Source organism: Homo sapiens, chromosome 16 (assembly GCF_000001405.40).
Source record: "Homo sapiens chromosome 16, GRCh38.p14 Primary Assembly".
NCBI lineage: Eukaryota > Metazoa > Chordata > Mammalia > Primates > Hominidae > Homo > Homo sapiens.
This window is the reverse complement of record NC_000016.10, coordinates 88051011-88067959: the sequence shown is the minus strand read 5'-3', so window position 1 is coordinate 88067959 and position 16949 is coordinate 88051011. Positions and strand designations below refer to the sequence as shown.

The window sequence follows — 16949 nt, the reverse complement described above, 5'->3', positions numbered from 1 at the left end:
GGGGACGGAGGGGGCATTGACACAGTGGATGCTACGGGGAGGCCCCGTGCAACGTGTAACTGCGGGAAGGCAAGGCTCAGCCGGGAGCATCGTCAGGGTTCCCTCATCTCAGGGTGTAACCATGCAGGAACAATGGAGTGGGGAGATTGACAGGTTGAGTGGAGACCTGGGGTTTACCCTGGGGTGGAGCAGGGCGAGGTCAGTGAAAGGGTGGAGGACCAGGACTGGGGCAGCCGGCCGTCCAGGGCAGGGGTGGCCAGAGCATGGCAGGGTGAGCGCCGTGGGGTGCAGGGGGGGCTGGGCACTGGGGAGCGGCTCTGAATGGGAGTGGCAGCAGCTGACCCCCTTAGATTTGGAAATAGTGCCAAGGAAAAAAAAGGACTCTGAAACTCTGGCATAAAATACCCATAAAGTATCTCAAATCAGGTTTGAGCGGTGGCAGTGCAGCAGGTGAGGTGGGGCCGGCCTAGAGCCCCTCAGGACAAGCCCCTGGGTCCCGTCTCAGGGCGGGGGCACGCAGCAGGGTGCAGGGTCACAGCCTGGTTCCAGCTCGAGTCTCCTCCCTGAGGGAGGCCCCGGCGCAGATGTGGTGTAGGTGGGAACCATGCAGCATGGGGCATGGGGCGAGACACCTGGGTGACACTGGCTGGGGGCTGAGAGGCCAAACAACTGTGGCGCCCCACACCCAGCCCAGCGGCTCTGACCCCCTCAGCCCCATGAGACCAGCCACACAAGCCAGTCGGCCACTCCACTGGCACCAAAGCAAAGAACACACTGAGTGGCAGGCGGCACAGAGCTGCAAAGGGTCAAAGGTCAGCGGCTTCACCTTCCCCCACACACCTGGGCCCTAGGATCCCGCCACGTGCTGTGTGTCCAACACCAATTAATAAAAAAGAGAGCGAGTGTGCATTCCTATAACTGGGTTTCTAGGCGAGTTCAAAACAGTAATAAAATAATTTGCCTGGTACCTCCATCCAAAAATGTCTAGGCCGCTGTGGCAATGTGCCCCGGCCGATGGCTCTGACCTCTGCCTAGCAGAGTCACCCAGCCTCGCACAGCCACTGACAGCGCCACTGCCTCCCCTCTGCCCTGGGAGACCCTCAAGTCTCCCAAGGGAGCACGAGAGGGAGCGCCCGCACCGCTGGGAGCGGCGTTTTGAAGGCTGATGGCAAAGACACACACAGGCAATGTAGGCAAGGTTTGGCACCTTTCTGGGGGAAAAAAAAACTGAACAAAATGATTCAATGTTTTCAGTTTTTCAAGAATCTATCAACAGAAACTTCTAGTTTCCTCCTTGATTTATGGGTTAGGATTTTCTCATTTCTGCCTCAAAACTACATTTTTCCAGGCAATGTGGTTTTACTTTTTGTGAACAACACAGCTCAGCTGAAAATAAACAGAATTTTAGGCAAAAGGAGCAGGAGGCACTTGTTTTTGGGAACAGAGGCCACAGTGTCAGACACCGAGTCGAAGCTGGGTTCCTTCGAGCTCCTTCTGGCTGTGGGTGTGGCCGAGGCCCTTCACCAGGTGGCCAGGCCCGCAGTACCCAGCAATCCATAAGGCAGCAGCAGCGCCACAGAGAGAAACGACACCAAACTCCCGAGTTTCACTCAAAGTAAAATTACCGCCTGCTGGTAATGTCAGCCTCAGGGGTGAGGAATTTTCCCTGGACATTCACTTCCTGTTAATACATTTATTGGGCAGTTCAGTTCCACGTTGGTGAACCTCATCTCAGAGTCTTAAAAGCTGTGTACCTGAGGGATCCCCTGGCAGGGGACCCCTTCATGAGGAAAGGCTCTTTGGAGCCCTCGGTGCTCTAAGGAACGTGTCTGGGAGAAGCCCCGTCTGCCCTGAGGCCGCCTCGCATGGGCACAGCTCGCCCTGCACCTGCCGCAGTAGTGGGACGACAGAGGCTGCTCGGACGCTATCCCAGGCTCGTAAAAGCCACAGGCGCAGGTGCACACCCTCTCCCGTGCTCCCATCCCCACCAAGAATCCTAAGCTGGGCAGTGGGCCCAGGAGGGACAGGAAGGAGGTGGAAGGCAAGCATGGCTGGGGCCCTCCCAGAGGGGAGCTGCTCCGCTGGGGACACTGTGGGGCTGGGATCCTGTGGGCCTCCCGGGATCAGGGTGCCCTTCCATACTCGCTTTCCTTGTGCTCTACCTGAGCAAGCATGCAACCTGGTCCTGCCACCAGCCCAGTTCCCCTGAATAAAAACAAAAGCAGAGCCGGTCCCTGCTCTCCTCCCTCCTAGGTTGACCAGTTCAGCCTGAGGGAACCATCACCACTTGTGCCATCAGTTTTCTGAACAAAAGATGGCGAGAAATTCTTCCCCCGTTCCTGTTGTGTCTTCAGAAAGCACCTGGCAAGCGCGTCTCACCCCAGCTCGCTGTGCTGGGCAGAGCTACCCACCCCACAAAGACACCCAGGTCCCAATCCCTGGGCCCTGTTTAGGTGTTACTTTACATGGGCAAAGGGATCTCACAGATGTGGCTCAACTGATCACCCTCACGTGGTGAGATGACCCTGGATGGCCAGGTGGGCCCAGTGTCATCGCGGGGGTCTTTAAAAGCAGAGACTCCTCCCAGCCACAGAGGGTGGGAGAGATGGGATGTACAAAGGACTCACCTGGCCACTGCTGGCTTTGAAGACGGATGGGGCCAGGAGGCAGGGGATGCGGGTGGCCTCTAGAAGCTGGAAAAGGCAAGAAAACGAATTTTCCCCTGGAGCCTCCAGAAGGACCAACCCTGCCTTGCTTTCAGCCCACTGAGACCCAGGATGGGCTTCTGCCCTCCGGTAAAGCCACGGGGTCTGTGGTCGTTTGTTATGGCAGCCACAGGAGCCTCCAGCCAGGTCCCCAAAGGGCTCTTTATTAAAACATCAAATTCCCAAACAGCAAAAACAACAGAAACAAAAGGCCTGGCAGTCCGTGCCTTCAGGGCGGGCTGGCAGCTGCAGGGAGAGCAACCGCTTTTTTCCATTAGAAAGAGTTTGTACTGTAGGAGTTTTTAAAAGCCAAAACAAAATTGGAGGAGAAAAAAAATGAAATGTCCTCTATGACTCGTGTTCCCCTGGAGGCCACTGGGCTCTAGCCACCTCCCAGGGCCTCCTGACAGCCTGAAGGCCACGGCCCTCAGAAGCTGAGGGGTCCTGGCTGTCTCCTATCCCAGCCAGAGGAGTGCCCTGCGGGCAAGAGCGGCAGCACCCCCAACCGCATGAAGGCACCAGGCTCCCATCTGGCACTGCCAGCCATGAGAGCTCCACAGGAGCCTCTTGTGTCTGGCAAAAGCGTTGTTGTTTTTTAAGGGAGGAAGGCATGTCCAGGAGGGGTCCCCAGGCCTCCTCGGGGAGTGCCACGTGGTGCCACACAGGCGCCCAGCCTGGCGATGCCCTCTCCTCGGCAAACCCTCAGCCAACCCGATGCTGGCCTGGACGCCTAGCCGCATCCTGGGAGCATCTGTCCGTGGGAGGCAGGTGGGTTGTTTTGCTCATTCAAGGCCCACTCATTTCTTGGACCCTAAGTGAATGCGCACATCTGTCCTCCAAATAAAAGCCACTCTCCCAGCTCCATGATGCCACCACTGCTTCCAAGCATGCTAAGGGAGAGGAACCCACTGTCCCTGACCACAGGTGACCACAGGGCAAGGGTGCAAGGGACGCACAGGGTGCTGGGAGCGCTGCCACGGAGGCAGGCCCCGCCGTGGACGCACAACTGCCTCAACATCCACCGCCTCGCTGTCCACTCTCCCCCCCTGCTCCCCTGCGCCTCTCAAGCCCCCGACACCTCCTGCCCCAGCCTCGTGCTCTGCCGTCTCTGAAGAGAGCCCCCTGACCCTGGTCCCCCAGCGCCGGTGCCTGCTTGTGGTTGGCCCCCACACCTTGTTCCAAGGCAGCAACAATGTCTGTGCCTTTGTTCCCCACAAAAGCCCCGGTACCTCTTTCTTCGAATCTTAAGTGTACATTAAGTGTTTCGCTCATTTCTAAAAAACTTATCAAAACAAAATCAATGTAGAAACATTTGAAAGTCATGACTTTTCAAATGCATTCCCAGTTGAGAACATTTTCTACTTTTATTTTCATTCACCACTTGGGTATGCCTACCTTCATGGTTATTGTAAAGCTGCAAAGTTAGATTCTGAGGTTTCTGACACTGTAATTCTTCCAGTGTAATGAGCTGCACAGATCATGTGAGAAGTCTTGTCACTGGCAATGCTGGCAGAAACAACATCACGGTCAGGATGCCATGACGTGCCTTCCACAGCCAGAGGAGGGCAGAACCCTCTTGGAGATCAGCAACACGGCTTCCCAAGTCTCATTAAGAACAGCTGTGATCGGATCTGAAACTCGTCTATCAAGGGATCTTTTAAAATGTGAAGTGATTACAAAATCATCACAGGAGCTTGTGCACAGAAGGCGAGATCAGAAATGACCAGCGGTCACCCCACAGACGGGCTGAGAGTCCAGGCTGGGAGGGGACTCACTTTCTCTATGGACCTGGTGGATTGTTTCATATGTTTGCCATATGTGGATTTCATAATGAAACACTGAATTCCTATTAACTAAGCAAGGGCGCTGAGCCGGGCCACGTGGAAGGGCAGGGAGGACCACAACGACAACACAACTCCTCCTTCTGGGACCAGCTCCCAGGCCAGGGCAGAAAGCATCCACACCGGGGAGGGGAGGGGAGGGCTGAGAGGCGAAAGCCGAGGCACTGGGCCTAGAAATAAGGGAACCGGGGTCAGCAGATACCACAAGGGCAACGCCGTGAAACACGCAGAAATGAAGGCACAGCGTGCTCTGAGAACAGTCACACAGAAGGCCGCGGTGCGCCCTCCGCTTGGCTGCGCTGCTGCAGGCTGAGGGCACCTCCATGCACGGCGCAGCCTCTTAAAACACACAGGAGGCTGAGATATAGTTTGTGGATTTGGGCTTGATTTGAAATTGGTGATGAGGACAACTCAGCAGTCAGATCTTAAACGTGAAGCAGCAAAAATGAGGTCACGCCAGGGTCCCTACAGAGCGCTGCACGCCCCAAGATGAGCGCCCTGGGATCTGTGCAGTTGATGCTGCTGCCGGTAGGATGGAGCCCTGTGATGAAAAGAACCCCAAGTCTGATGCAGGCCTTCAGGGGTAGAGCAGGCTGGGCCGAATTCCGACTTAGTGCCCAACAATGAATGTGCAATCCCTTCTTTCCTCTCCCTGCCGGCTTTATGTCTGGAGCAGGGCCCCAGTCTGAGGCATTTCCAAACCAGCTCTGGAATGCAGAAGCCGCTCATTGGAACGGACGGTGTCCTGGCTTCCAGGCTCCAGGGACACTGGCCTGCGGCTGAACTTGAAGCGGACTTCCCAAAGGGCAGCACCTCGTCATCTCAAGAGAGGCTTGGTTGGGGACAGTGGTTGGGGACAGGGCTGGAGACACGTGCTACTTTCCCAGCTCCATTCAGAGGGTTTTCCCCTGAACATTTTTGAAACAGAGCCAGTTGTTTTCAGATAAAAGAAAGCGGCAGAAGGTAGAAATGGGAGCAGCCGACTGAGGGAACCCCGGCCTAAAGGCACTGCATTTTGAGCACACACATCTGGTTTCCTCTATCTACTGAGAATGCAGAAATTCTGTGTAATGTCCAACTGAGATCATGCTAAACTGCTGTAAATCTAAGGTCAACGCAAGAAGCCCAAGGACTTCTCAGTACTATTTAGATACAAAATCCTGAATCTAACCAAGAATCCACTCAGGTGCAACGCAAAACCAAACAAAAGAACCCCACCCCCCATGCCTTTAAAAGATACACTCTGAACACTGCTGAAGTGTGTGGACAGAAACGAGGATGAAACCACTAATCCACAGGTGTGCTGGAAAAGCCAAGAAGTCCTTTGTTTTTGTCATTCAGCTTTGAATCCAACTTGTTAAGGTATGAGGGCTGAGACTGTAACCAAGGTGCCTTTTTCAAATCTAGATGTTCACTTCAAAGAAGCTTCCTCATACTAGAAAAATGAGGTGCTCAGGCTGGGCGTGGTGGCTCATGCCTGCAGTCCTAGCACTTTGGGAGGCCGAGGCGGGCTGGTCACCTGAGGTTGGGAGACCAGCCTGACCAACATGGAGAAATCCCGTCTCCATTAAAAATACAAAATTAGCCGGGCATGGTGGTGCGTGCCTGTAATCCCAGCTACTCAGGAGGCTGAGGCAGGAGAATTGCTTGAACCCAGGAGGCAGAGGTTGCGGTGAGCCGAGATCGTGCCATTGCACTCCAGCCTGGGCAACAAAAGCAAAAACTCCGTCTCAAAAAAAAAAAGAAAGAAAAATGAGGTGCTCAGAGAAAGAGGCTCATCCCAGTGATGCCCCCAACTGGCCTAAAATCTTTCTCCTACGTTCCTACAAGAAATGCCGAAAGGCCACATCCTCATTCTTAAGCCTTTAAACCCACTGATGGGAATACTAACACGTGCCCTTAAATTCCATTTCTAATGCTTTTCACAAACCAAATCACCCATTAGTGGATGGTCAGAAACAGAGCACACACAGCAGGCCAGCGCAGGCAAATGCAGAAACCTGCTTCTCCTGGAGAAAAAGAAACAGCACACACAAGCTTCTTGCAGACCTCAGGGTTTAAGTCAACTGATCCAACGTTTTAGACAATCGTCCTTCAGGCCAAAAAAGGCTAAGTTTCAAAGCTAACAGGCTAAGAGCTATAAGGCAGATTTACAGCCCAGAGCGATGGCAAGATGCCCCGGGAGACCCCACATTCACACAAAGGTGCCTTGTGGCAAGCGGTAGGCACAGCAGTCTCCACAGTGCTCTGCGGCTGGCTCCAGCGTTTCAGCATGAACCTCAATCAAGCACAGCCTTGGGAGAAGGCAACACAAAGGCTAAAAACTCGAAGGAAGGGAAGTGGAGGCCTGCGGGTGCTTGCCGCCCACCCCCCCTTCCAGCAGGGCGGCGCTCCTGGGAGTGACCTTAACCATGTGTGTGTCTTGGGGTCTTCTGACTCACTGGGGCAGGGTGGGGGACGTTTAAGAACACAACCAAAGTCACCCCGAGGCCTGTGGCGCTCCCCCATGGACCACAGGCCTCTGGCTTCTGGATGGTGAGAGGGAGGGTGGGCGGGCAGGGGACGACGAAGAGTGGGAAGAAAATAAGGATGTATCTGCATGACGCGTGCACAAGCCTGCCATCACCGTGGCGCTGCTCAGGTGTCCCCAGGAAAGGGAGAAGGGCAGGTCGGGGAGCCCGGCCGGGCTGCCATCCAATTTCACACCTCGAGGGGCTGAGATGCCAGCCCAGAGCTGACGGTGAGAAGAGCCTCTCGCTCCCCACAGAAAGAGGCCACCTCCACGTGCCTCCACGCACCCTCCAGATGGCACCGTTCTCGTGGCTCTGGTCATTTCTTTAACTTGGAAAACTTACTGTATGGCACAAAAAATACGTTTGAATCCACCGTGAGAGGGCAAAAGAACGAACTTCTAAAAACATGTGCTCCAACGTTCCCACTAAGCTCACTTCAGTCGGAAGCCTCCACACAGGATCACTCGCGTGTCCAACGTCAGCTGATCTCCCTCCTAATCGTGATGGAAAAACGTGGCTTTTAAACAGAGGGTGGGCCAGCCTTTCCAATCTCAGCCCCACACTGACCATCCAAGTGGAGGAGTGACCAGCAGGCCAGGCCAGGCTGGGGAGACCCAGAGAGACCCCTCGTCAGGTGGGCTCTGCCCGGAGGGCAACGCACGGCGGTCTCTGCACACACCTCAAACTACGTTATGCTTAGAAACATACGGCCTTGCCACTCGTGCCGACAGGTGGTTGCTATGTGCTGGTGGCTAAGAGCACCTTTGCACACTTCTCACACAAGCCGCTCACACTTCGGCACCTTCGGCCACAGCAGAGCACCCCCAACTTGGGTAAGTCAGAGCACCTGCCATCTTCAGAGGAAGGCCCAGAGACAGACAGCTGCGCCAAGCCAGTCTCACCACACACTACACGGAGAACCCCACCTGTGCCAACCTCAGCCCTCCTGGGGTGTGTGTGTGCAGGTCTGGGGCCTAAATGTGACCCTTCCCCACCAGGCCGTGGCTCCAGGTGACTCCATCCCAATGCCGGGTCTCAAGTGCATCTGACCTAGGCGCACTCAGCGGGATGTCCATGACCATGCGGTCTCACACAGGGAGCAGAGGAGGGGGCATGGCATGTGTCGCGTCCGACAGTGCAGCTGGTAGGGCCCTGACAGGACGCGAGGAGTAGCACACGTCTCCGTCGGGAAGCCCCAAAGCACCCAGAACCCCACCAAACTCACATCTTCCTGCAAAAAGCTTCATCTGTGGTGCTGAGCCAGGGCTCAGCACATGCCTGCAGGAACGTGGGGCCGAGACGAGGTGATGGCCATCATTCTGCCGAAGATGGTATGGGGATGGGGAGGGTCCTGTGGCCTGAACCGTGTCCCTTAAAAAGCAACTCAATAACCTCTGATACCTGTGAACTTGGGCTTAATTGAAAACAGGGTCTTTGCAAATTTAAGTTAAAGTGAGGCCACACTGGGCTCAGGTGGGCCCGAACCCAGTGACAGGGGCCTTATGAAAAGAAGCAGATTTGAACACAGAGAAGCAGAGGAGAGGCAGAGATTGGAACAGTGTGGTATCAAGCCCAGGAACAGCAAGCACTGCCGAGAGGGAAGGCAGTGCCCCCTCTCCACACCTTCACACACCTCCGCCCGCCCCACCCCACCCCCACCTGCCCTTACAGCAGAGCCTCCAGGAGCATCCCTACTCTCCTCAAGGTCATGCCCCGCCACCAGCAGGAGCATGGACCACAGCACACCAGCAGGAGCACGGACCTCAGCACACCAGCAGGAGCACGGACCTCAGCACACCAGCAGGAGCACGGACCTCAGCACACCAGCAGGAGCACGGACCACAGCACTGTGGTACAGGGGTTCCGACCAGGCAACATCCCTGATACACACTGGGCGTGAGGGACACCACTGGAGGAGCAGCTGCCGAAAGCAGGAGCAGCGGCTCAGGGGCCCACCAGGAGGCAGAAGGAAAAGCCGGCAGGGGCCACTTTATGGGCTTTTCGTTGATCTCACTTTGGGAGTCAACGTAAACAATGCCCTGAACATTATAAATAAGAGATTGTCTACACATGAAAATAATTCTAGGTTACTTTTCTACCCTTGATGCATATTTTATGTCCAGAGCCAATTACACAATGCAGCCAAGAGCAGCCATGGGTCCGAGTTGCTTCTTAATTACAACCTCCCAGTCCCATGGTCTCAGATACCACAGGCTTCCTACAAACCCCGGGGCAGGACACACACGTTTCATCTGGGGCTGCGACTCCTTAGAGAAAATGGAAAGAACGATGGTGGTGGGTTTTATTAAACCTTGGCCACGTTCCCCTGTACTGCCTGTGTGAGAGGAAACAGCCTGTCAGGTGGTCAGAGTGAAGAGGAATCCCCCGAAGCTCTGGTCTGTGGATCAGAAATGACCCCTGTGCTTGAGTCACTTAGGAAGCCACAGCACTGCCGTGGAACTGGGCCCTGCTGCGGACCAAGCCCCATTTTTACACCTAAGGCCTTACAGGGCCCAGGAAGGAGCTCAGTCGACGAAGGCGCCTGACATCAGCACGTCCCGGCCCTGCCTGCCGTCCTCCTCGGGCCCACCTGCGTGAAACCCAACAAATCCCAAGCTCCCATTTGAGGAAGAAAGGGATCTTTGTTCGCACTGTCCTTCAGTTTCCCAAAGGCCAGTGAGTCAAAAAACAAAAGCTTCTCTTTCAGGCACCTCAACACACTTTAGCACCAGCTTCAACGTTTTAACCAGGCACGGGCACAGTCCTGCATCTACAGTCTCTAGATGAAAGATTCCTCGTAAATACACAATGAATTTAACAGCCACTCAGCGGTTCACTCTCAGAGTGAAAAAAAGGTAGGAAATTATATTACGCTTGAACCCTTTCTTCCCGTGTAACTCCGCCGTTTCATAGTTTAAGGGGGCAGGAGTGTGACTTCAATCAGGCCCACGGGCCCACACCGAGCCTCGGCGCCTGGCTTGTCGGAACACAGGCGGCCACTCGCTGCCCCGCACCGCACTGTCCGGAAAGTGCTCGCTGCGTGCCCCGCACCTCCTCACTGTGGGCATCCGGCCAGCACCACTTGCCCTGGAGTCCAGGGTGCGGGGACAGGGCCAGCGCGAGTCACTGCACGCACCCCCCCCCCCGCCCCACCCAGATGGCCCCGCCATCTCTCTTACTTGTCAGAAGTCAGACTGTCTCGCACAGTGCCGCAACTTCCCTTCTGGGATGTAAGAACCAGGACCCAAACATTGCCAACATGAAGGGTGTGAAGAACATTCTTCCAATTTTACACAACGTGGGCCAGTCAGAGTGCCTGCATTTTGCATGAGGGAAAAGCCGGGGCCTAAACAGAATCAGCATGAAGCGACCTGAGGGGTGTTTTTCACTCCTCGTTTCTTGACTCTGACGAGGTGAACACGTGGAGGGGACCGCAAGAGTCTCCAGGGCATCCCCCTGGAGAAGGCTCACCTTCAGCCACCATCCTTCCTCTGGAGGCCAGGAATCCTGGTGCAGCAGTAACGCCCAGGTTTCCTTTCGCAGGCAGCTACTCTGGTAGCCTTCCAGAAGATAATTCTTGGGGCAAAAGAGTCTACACATCCATTAGCTGCTCCCCACAGAGGCACCCAAAGCAACAGGCGCGCTGGGTGAGCTCTTGGCGGCTGGCCCGTACCCCACTTCGAAGCATCCCGTGCCAGCTGTGTGAAGTCGCTCCCCACCACAACACGGCAGGCCCGCCCACCAGAAAAGGCAGACACAGCTCAACAACGGCAACAGAAAAGTCTCAGAACACCCAAAGAATCACCAAAACTCCCTTATTCAGAAAAAGTTCTCACATTTGGATCCCACCAAAAGGATTTGTAAAGTTATTCAGAAATCACACTTTTTCTGCTTTTTGAGTTACAGAGTTTTAAATCAGTACTGTTCTATATGTTTTCATGATTAAAGATCTGGTGAACGTAAGCCGTAGTTTTAAATGGCTCAAACAAGAGTATTTCCAAATGTCTTCAATGTGTGCATCATATAACTAACTGCTAACTTGGCAACAGTTGCCATTGTATTCATTCACTCAATGATCACTCAGTGTTGCTAAGTATACTACACTGGGTATGACAGGTAAAAGAAATGAATAACCTTTTAAATATATATTTGAAAATGGTAAAATTGATCAAAAACAATCTTCGAATCATCAGGCCTGCCACCACTGTCTGACATCACAGAGTCTGATGCGGGGCTAAACAAAAGGGCCAGGAGTGCAGGGGCCAGCGTGAAGCGTGACCAGAGCAGTGGGAGCATCTCAGGGGTTGTGATAAAGACATTTCAGCTTCAGCTAACAGCGAGCCCTTCGAAGGCACCATTGTTTCAACTGAGTAAAACACTGAAAGTGTACATTTCAGTCATCATTTCATCTAAGTTCTCTCTCTAAAAAAAAAAAAAAAGAGAGAGAATACGCTTCCCAGCCAAACACTTTGTCCAGCTTGTCCTGGGCCCTTGCCTGACTTAAAGATTCTTCTACGCTGCAACCACAGACAGTGTCCCAAGAAATTCAATGGGACAAAAATGATAGTCCTCAAATTAGTACACCTATTTTACTGACTAGTCATCACTCAAGCCTGAAACTACCTTCCTTGCTGCTTGCCAAAACAGACCAAGAAGCAAAGAAGCAGAGAGTCCTTGGAGTTCCACAGCCACTCCACACTCTCAGAACACTCTGCTGCATGCGGCAAGCCTGTTAGGGGCCACAAGGACCCCTCCAGTGTCAGAGCCACAGGCAGGAGACACCACGGCCTCCCTTTGTAAGTCAGGGCCCCACCTCCCCAGACAGGGCAAGGAAGCTGAAGAGCCAGCTGTCCAGGTGGGCCTGAGCCCCCCAGCAAGGCAGCAGGAGGCATGCGGGCAGCTCCACACCTTTCCCAGGGGGTTTCTTGGGACTAGTCAACACCAAACTCACTCCACTTCAGACCTTTTATGATTTAAATTACATTTTCCACCATTTCTGGTAGAGAAGGCTTCTCCATAAGAGATTAATTCCCTAAACCACTGAGAGTCTCCAAGATTTCTGCTTGTGTTTTGGCATGTAATGCAGGAATATATTTTCTTGATGGGAGCATTTTTATTACAAGTGACATAGGGTGTGTGTCTAGGAAGGCGAGATGATCCTCCTTCTGTGACAAACCATTTAGAGTGGCCTAAAGCCTCCTGGAAATACAAGAGGCCATTTTTCAGCTATAGATAAAGACACCCTGCACACACACACTCCTTCTCCTCGCTCTCTCCAAAAAAATCCTACACGTAAAATGTTGGACATTTCCCATGTCTTCTAATCTTTTTCCCAGCTGGGTCTAGAAGGCCTTATTTCATGGAAAAAGATTCTGAAGCCTTCTGAAACTTACTCTTAAGCGAAGTATCAGGAGGAATACAAATGCCAAAGATGGGAGAGAAGCTGAAAAGCTTCAAGGTCACCAAGCCTGCCGTCAGCTGAACCCTGGTCAAGTCATTGCACAGGTGCACAGTGGGAACGCCCTGGATCCGTCACTGCTTTGCTTAACTTTACTAAATGTACACGCGTCATGTGTACGTACACATATTCAATCATTCAGGGGTGTGTGTGCGGAGGGGGTGGGTGGGTGTATGGATTACAGATGGGTTTACCAGAACATACACAAAATACCTCCTAGCTTTTCCAGTGATTTCACATTGTTTAGCCTATAAACATATATAAGCTTTGTTCGTGCACATCTTAGGTAACATTAGCTACATCTGTTTAAAAAAAAAAAGGGCAAAAAAGGGCAAAAAAAAAGTATTAAAATACACACGTACTAGAAACAGTACTAAATAATTTCATGATTCATGATCTAAGCAGCATGATTAATAATCAAGCCTTGAAAAGCTTCCCATGTGACTGAAAATCTTCCAAATATAGTGAAAGAACTGACCCAGATTTGAACATCTCAATAGATATAATACCCCCTAGGAACAGAGTTTGGTACTAACTGTTCAAACCATACTGCACATTAGATTCAATCTGCAGAATCCAAATTCAACACTGTGAAGGCTTTATCCTGAAGCAACACTGAGGACCTTCCATTTCTATCACACCTAAGCTACTACTCAAGGCCTACATAGTAAGGACAGAAGCCATGCCCACTGACCCTCCATAAATATTCCTATGAGCTAGGCAAAGGAAGCACTGTCATTTCAGTCTCGACAGGAAGAGGGTGAGAGGCCAATAAGTAGATAGATTAGAAAACAACTCAGGATAATCAGGAAATTCACTTGACCCCTTGACGGTGCTGGTGCTGGTGCTGGTGCTGTTGATGGCTGTGATAGCACTGGGAGTGGTGGGGGTGGCGGAGGTAAGGGCAACGGAGAGGGTGACAGGGACAATGGTGGTAGAGGTCATGCTGTGATAGATGTGTTGTTGGTAGTGGTGGTGAGGATGAGGGACATAATAGTGGTGGAGGTGGTGGTGGTAGTGTTTGTTAAGGTGGTTGTGTTGGTGATGATGGAGATAGTAGAGGTGGTGGTGGTAGTGGTTGTTAGGGTGGCTGTGTTGGTGGTGATGATGGAGATGACAGTGGTGAAGGTGGTTGTGTTGGTGATGATGATGGAGATGACAGTGGTAGAGGTGGTGGTGGTGGTGAAGGTGACTGTGTTGGTGATGGTGATGATAGTGAAGGAGGTGGGGGTGGTAGTCGTTAGGGTGGTTGTGTTGGTGATGATGATGATGATGGAGATGATGGTGGAGGTGGTGGTGGTAGTGTTTGTTAAGGTGGTTGTGGTTGTGCTGGTGATGATGATGGAGATGACAGTAGAGGTGGTGGTGAAGGTGGTTGTGTTGGTGATGATGATGATGGAGATGACAGTGGTAGAGGTGGTGGTGGTGGTAAAGGTGGTTGTGTTGGTGATGGTGATGATAGTGAAGGAGGTGGGAGTGGCTGTTAGGGTGGTTGTGTTGGTGATGATGATGGAGATGACAGTGGTAGAGGTGGTGGTGGTGGTGAAGGGGACTGTGTTGGTGATGGTGATGATAGTGAAGGAGGTGGGGGTGGTAGTGGTTGTTAAGGTGGTTGTGTTGGTGATGATGGAGATAGTAGAGGTGGTGGTGGTAGTGGTTGTTAGGGTGGCTGTGTTGGTGATGATGATGGAGATGACAGTAGAGGTGGTGGTGAAGGTGGTTGTGTTGGTGATGATGATGATGGAGATGACAGTGGTAGAGGTGGTGGTGGTGGTGGTGAAGGTGACTGTGTTGGTGATGGTGATGATAGTGAAGGAGGTGGGGGTGGTAGTCGTTAGGGTGGTTGTGTTGGTGATGATGATGATGATGGAGATGATGGTGGAGGTGGTGGTGGTAGTGTTTGTTAAGGTGGTTGTGGTTGTGCTGGTGATGATGATGGAGATGACAGTAGAGGTGGTGGTGAAGGTGGTTGTGTTGGTGATGATGATGATGGAGATGACAGTGGTAGAGGTGGTGGTGGTGGTAAAGGTGGTTGTGTTGGTGATGGTGATGATAGTGAAGGAGGTGGGAGTGGGAGTGGCTGTTAGGGTGGTTGTGTTGGTGATGATGATGGAGATGACAGTGGTAGAGGTGGTGGTGGTGGTGAAGGGGACTGTGTTGGTGACGGTGATGATAGTGAAGGAGGTGGGGGTGGTAGTGGTTGTTAGGGTGGTTGTGTTGGTGATGATAATGATGGAGATGATAGTGGTGGAGGTGGTGGTGGTAGTGTTTGTTAAGGTGGTTATGGTTGTGTTGGTGATGATGATGATGGAGATGACAGTGGTGGAGGTGGGGGTGGTAGTGGTTGTTAGGGTGGTTGGGTTGGTGATAATGATGGAGATGACAGGGGTGATGGTGATGGTAGTGTTTGTTAGGGTGACTGTTGGTGATAATGATGGAGATGGTAGTGGTAGAAGTGGTTGTGGTGGTATGATGATGGAGATGATAGTGGTGAAGGTGGTGATGGTAGTGGTTAAGGTGGTTGTGTTGGTGATGATGATGGAGATGATAGTGAAGAAGGTGGTGGTGGTAGTGATTGTTAGGGTGGTTGTGTTGGTGATAATGATGGAGATGACAGTGGTGAAGGCGGTAGTGGTAGTGGTTGTTAAGGTGGTTATGTTAGTGATGATGATGGAGATGGTAATGGTAAAGGTGGTGGTGGTAGTGGTTAGGGTGGTTGGGTTGGTGATGATGATGGAGATGATAGTGGTCGAGGTGGTGGTGATAGCAGTTGTTAGGGTGGTTGTGATGATGGTGGCAATTATGATAATGGTGAGGATGATGGAGATGACAGTGGCGGAGGTGGTAGAGGTGGTTGTGTTGGCAGTGGTAGTAGGTGGAGGTGATGATGATGGTGGAGCTCTGGGGGATCTGCAGGCAATGTTCAGGAATCATGAGAGTTGAGTTCTGGATGTATCCCTGACTTTAACTCCTTGAACGGTCCTAGAAAAGCTCCTGTCTACTGTCTTCATCTCCAAAATGAGAATAGCACTCAACCTAGTCACCAAATTTAATCTCATTTCTCTTCAGAAATGCAAGACAGGTGAAGACATAGGAGAAAGCAAGTCTCTAACTTCAGAGAGGGGCCCCTGAGTTAATGCAGGCAGAGCGCTAGCTTGCCACAATGCTTTAGAAGGTGTATTTCAGCTTTCTAAGGATGACGTGGATATGCCAGGGAATGTCCATATGCTACATTTGAGCTGAAGTGACCTCTTACGTATCTTTCTTGTGTTTTGTTTTGATTTTCTTTAGTAACAATTTAGTAGTAATTAGAACAACAAATACACCAGCATCTGTCCAGGAATGGGTGCCTGTCCTTGGCTGTTAAGAGTGCCCAATGAGAGAAACTCCAGATACAGTGCTTCAAGAGGTATCTGAGGGCAGCTAGTAGCAGCTACCAATTCCAGAAACATACTGATTGGGAGTATTATTTCTTGGTCATGTGAGGAAATGTTTAGGTCTTCACTTTATTTTCTTAAACTCCTCAAACAAATGAGATGAATGGAATGCAAACGATACCACAGAAATGGCATAAATCTGGATTTTTTAAATCTAGATTTTTTAATATAGGAAAGAAAACTGTAAGTCTATTTAACAATTACTATTTAATGATGCATAATTATAAAAATGTACTTATCATCAGCCGAGCTGCCCTCAACAAAGCACACAGTTAATAAATCAAGAGAAATCCTGAATTTCTCTATGCGGATTTTTATGTCAGGTGGGTGGGCTGCTATCTTCCTGAGATCACAACACTGAAGGTGACAGACCAGCCCCACAACCTGCAACTGTGGCAGGGAAAGGCACCCCTGAGAGAGGGAACCGTGGCTCACCAAATCCATGTCTACGTGGGAACACATCGCGCTCAGCACTGCAGCAGTGCCTGGGAATGGCCGCACTTCCCATGTGCCTACTGCGCGTGAGGCACCGAGGCTGAGCCCGAAGGAGGCATGGGCTCCCGCAAACCCCATACTTTCTACAAGCTCAATGTGTGCTGGGCACGGGTCCTGCCCTTAAGGAGCTCCACATCTACACATGCAGGGCAGCAACAGGCCCTGAAAGGTGCCGTACCCCACCCACACCCTGCAGGCCGCCCCACACCTCAATCTTTTCACATTCAAGATTCTGGCATGGACATTTTGCCCCATCCCTCAAGGGAAGCACAGTTTCCACAGAGGTTCGAGGGGGTCTGCGGCCTCAGCCCTAAACCACTGGGGAGCCCCCATCCTGGAGCCTTGATCTCATGCTGCGAGGCCCGCCACTACACGGGAGGGACCCGGGTGCTGCGGTCAACAGCTTGGCTGTGGCAGCAAGAGATCACGGGAGAAGAGTGACTGCTCAGCTGGCTATGCAGGTTAGCATTCTACGGGGTTCTGGGATCTCTGCAACCTAC

At 52.2% G+C, this 16949-nt stretch overlaps 1 protein-coding gene across 32 annotated transcripts in view, besides 3 other annotated features; it reads right to left on the bottom strand.

Moving 5' to 3' along the window:
- The window catches only part of BANP (BTG3 associated nuclear protein), a 128081-nt gene that overhangs the window by 9359 nt on the left and 101773 nt on the right, over positions 1 to 16949 (bottom strand). For 5 of the 32 annotated variants that reach the window (NM_001173540.2, NM_001386991.1, NM_001386992.1 and 2 more), the window contains one exon: positions 2628 to 2693. The exons of the other annotated variants lie outside the window; for them this stretch is intronic. In NM_001173540.2, the coding sequence (NP_001167011.1) occupies positions 2628 to 2693 (66 nt within the window). The remainder of the gene's footprint in view (positions 1 to 2627; positions 2694 to 16949) is intronic. 32 annotated transcript variants of the gene reach the window in all.
- Positions 1482 to 2157: an enhancer, noted in NCBI's record as "H3K4me1 hESC enhancer chr16:88099409-88100084 (GRCh37/hg19 assembly coordinates)". NCBI's record gives its function as "activates a minimal SCP1, AML or CMV promoter by ChIP-STARR-seq in naive H9 embryonic stem cells {active_cell/tissue: H9 hESC(naive)}" and the evidence as "EXISTENCE:reporter gene assay evidence [ECO:0000049][PMID:30033119]".
- Positions 2834 to 3509: an enhancer, noted in NCBI's record as "H3K27ac-H3K4me1 hESC enhancer chr16:88098057-88098732 (GRCh37/hg19 assembly coordinates)". NCBI's record gives its function as "activates a minimal SCP1, AML or CMV promoter by ChIP-STARR-seq in naive H9 embryonic stem cells {active_cell/tissue: H9 hESC(naive)}" and the evidence as "EXISTENCE:reporter gene assay evidence [ECO:0000049][PMID:30033119]".
- Positions 4232 to 5000: an enhancer, noted in NCBI's record as "H3K27ac-H3K4me1 hESC enhancer chr16:88096566-88097334 (GRCh37/hg19 assembly coordinates)". NCBI's record gives its function as "activates a minimal SCP1, AML or CMV promoter by ChIP-STARR-seq in primed H9 embryonic stem cells {active_cell/tissue: H9 hESC(primed)}" and the evidence as "EXISTENCE:reporter gene assay evidence [ECO:0000049][PMID:30033119]".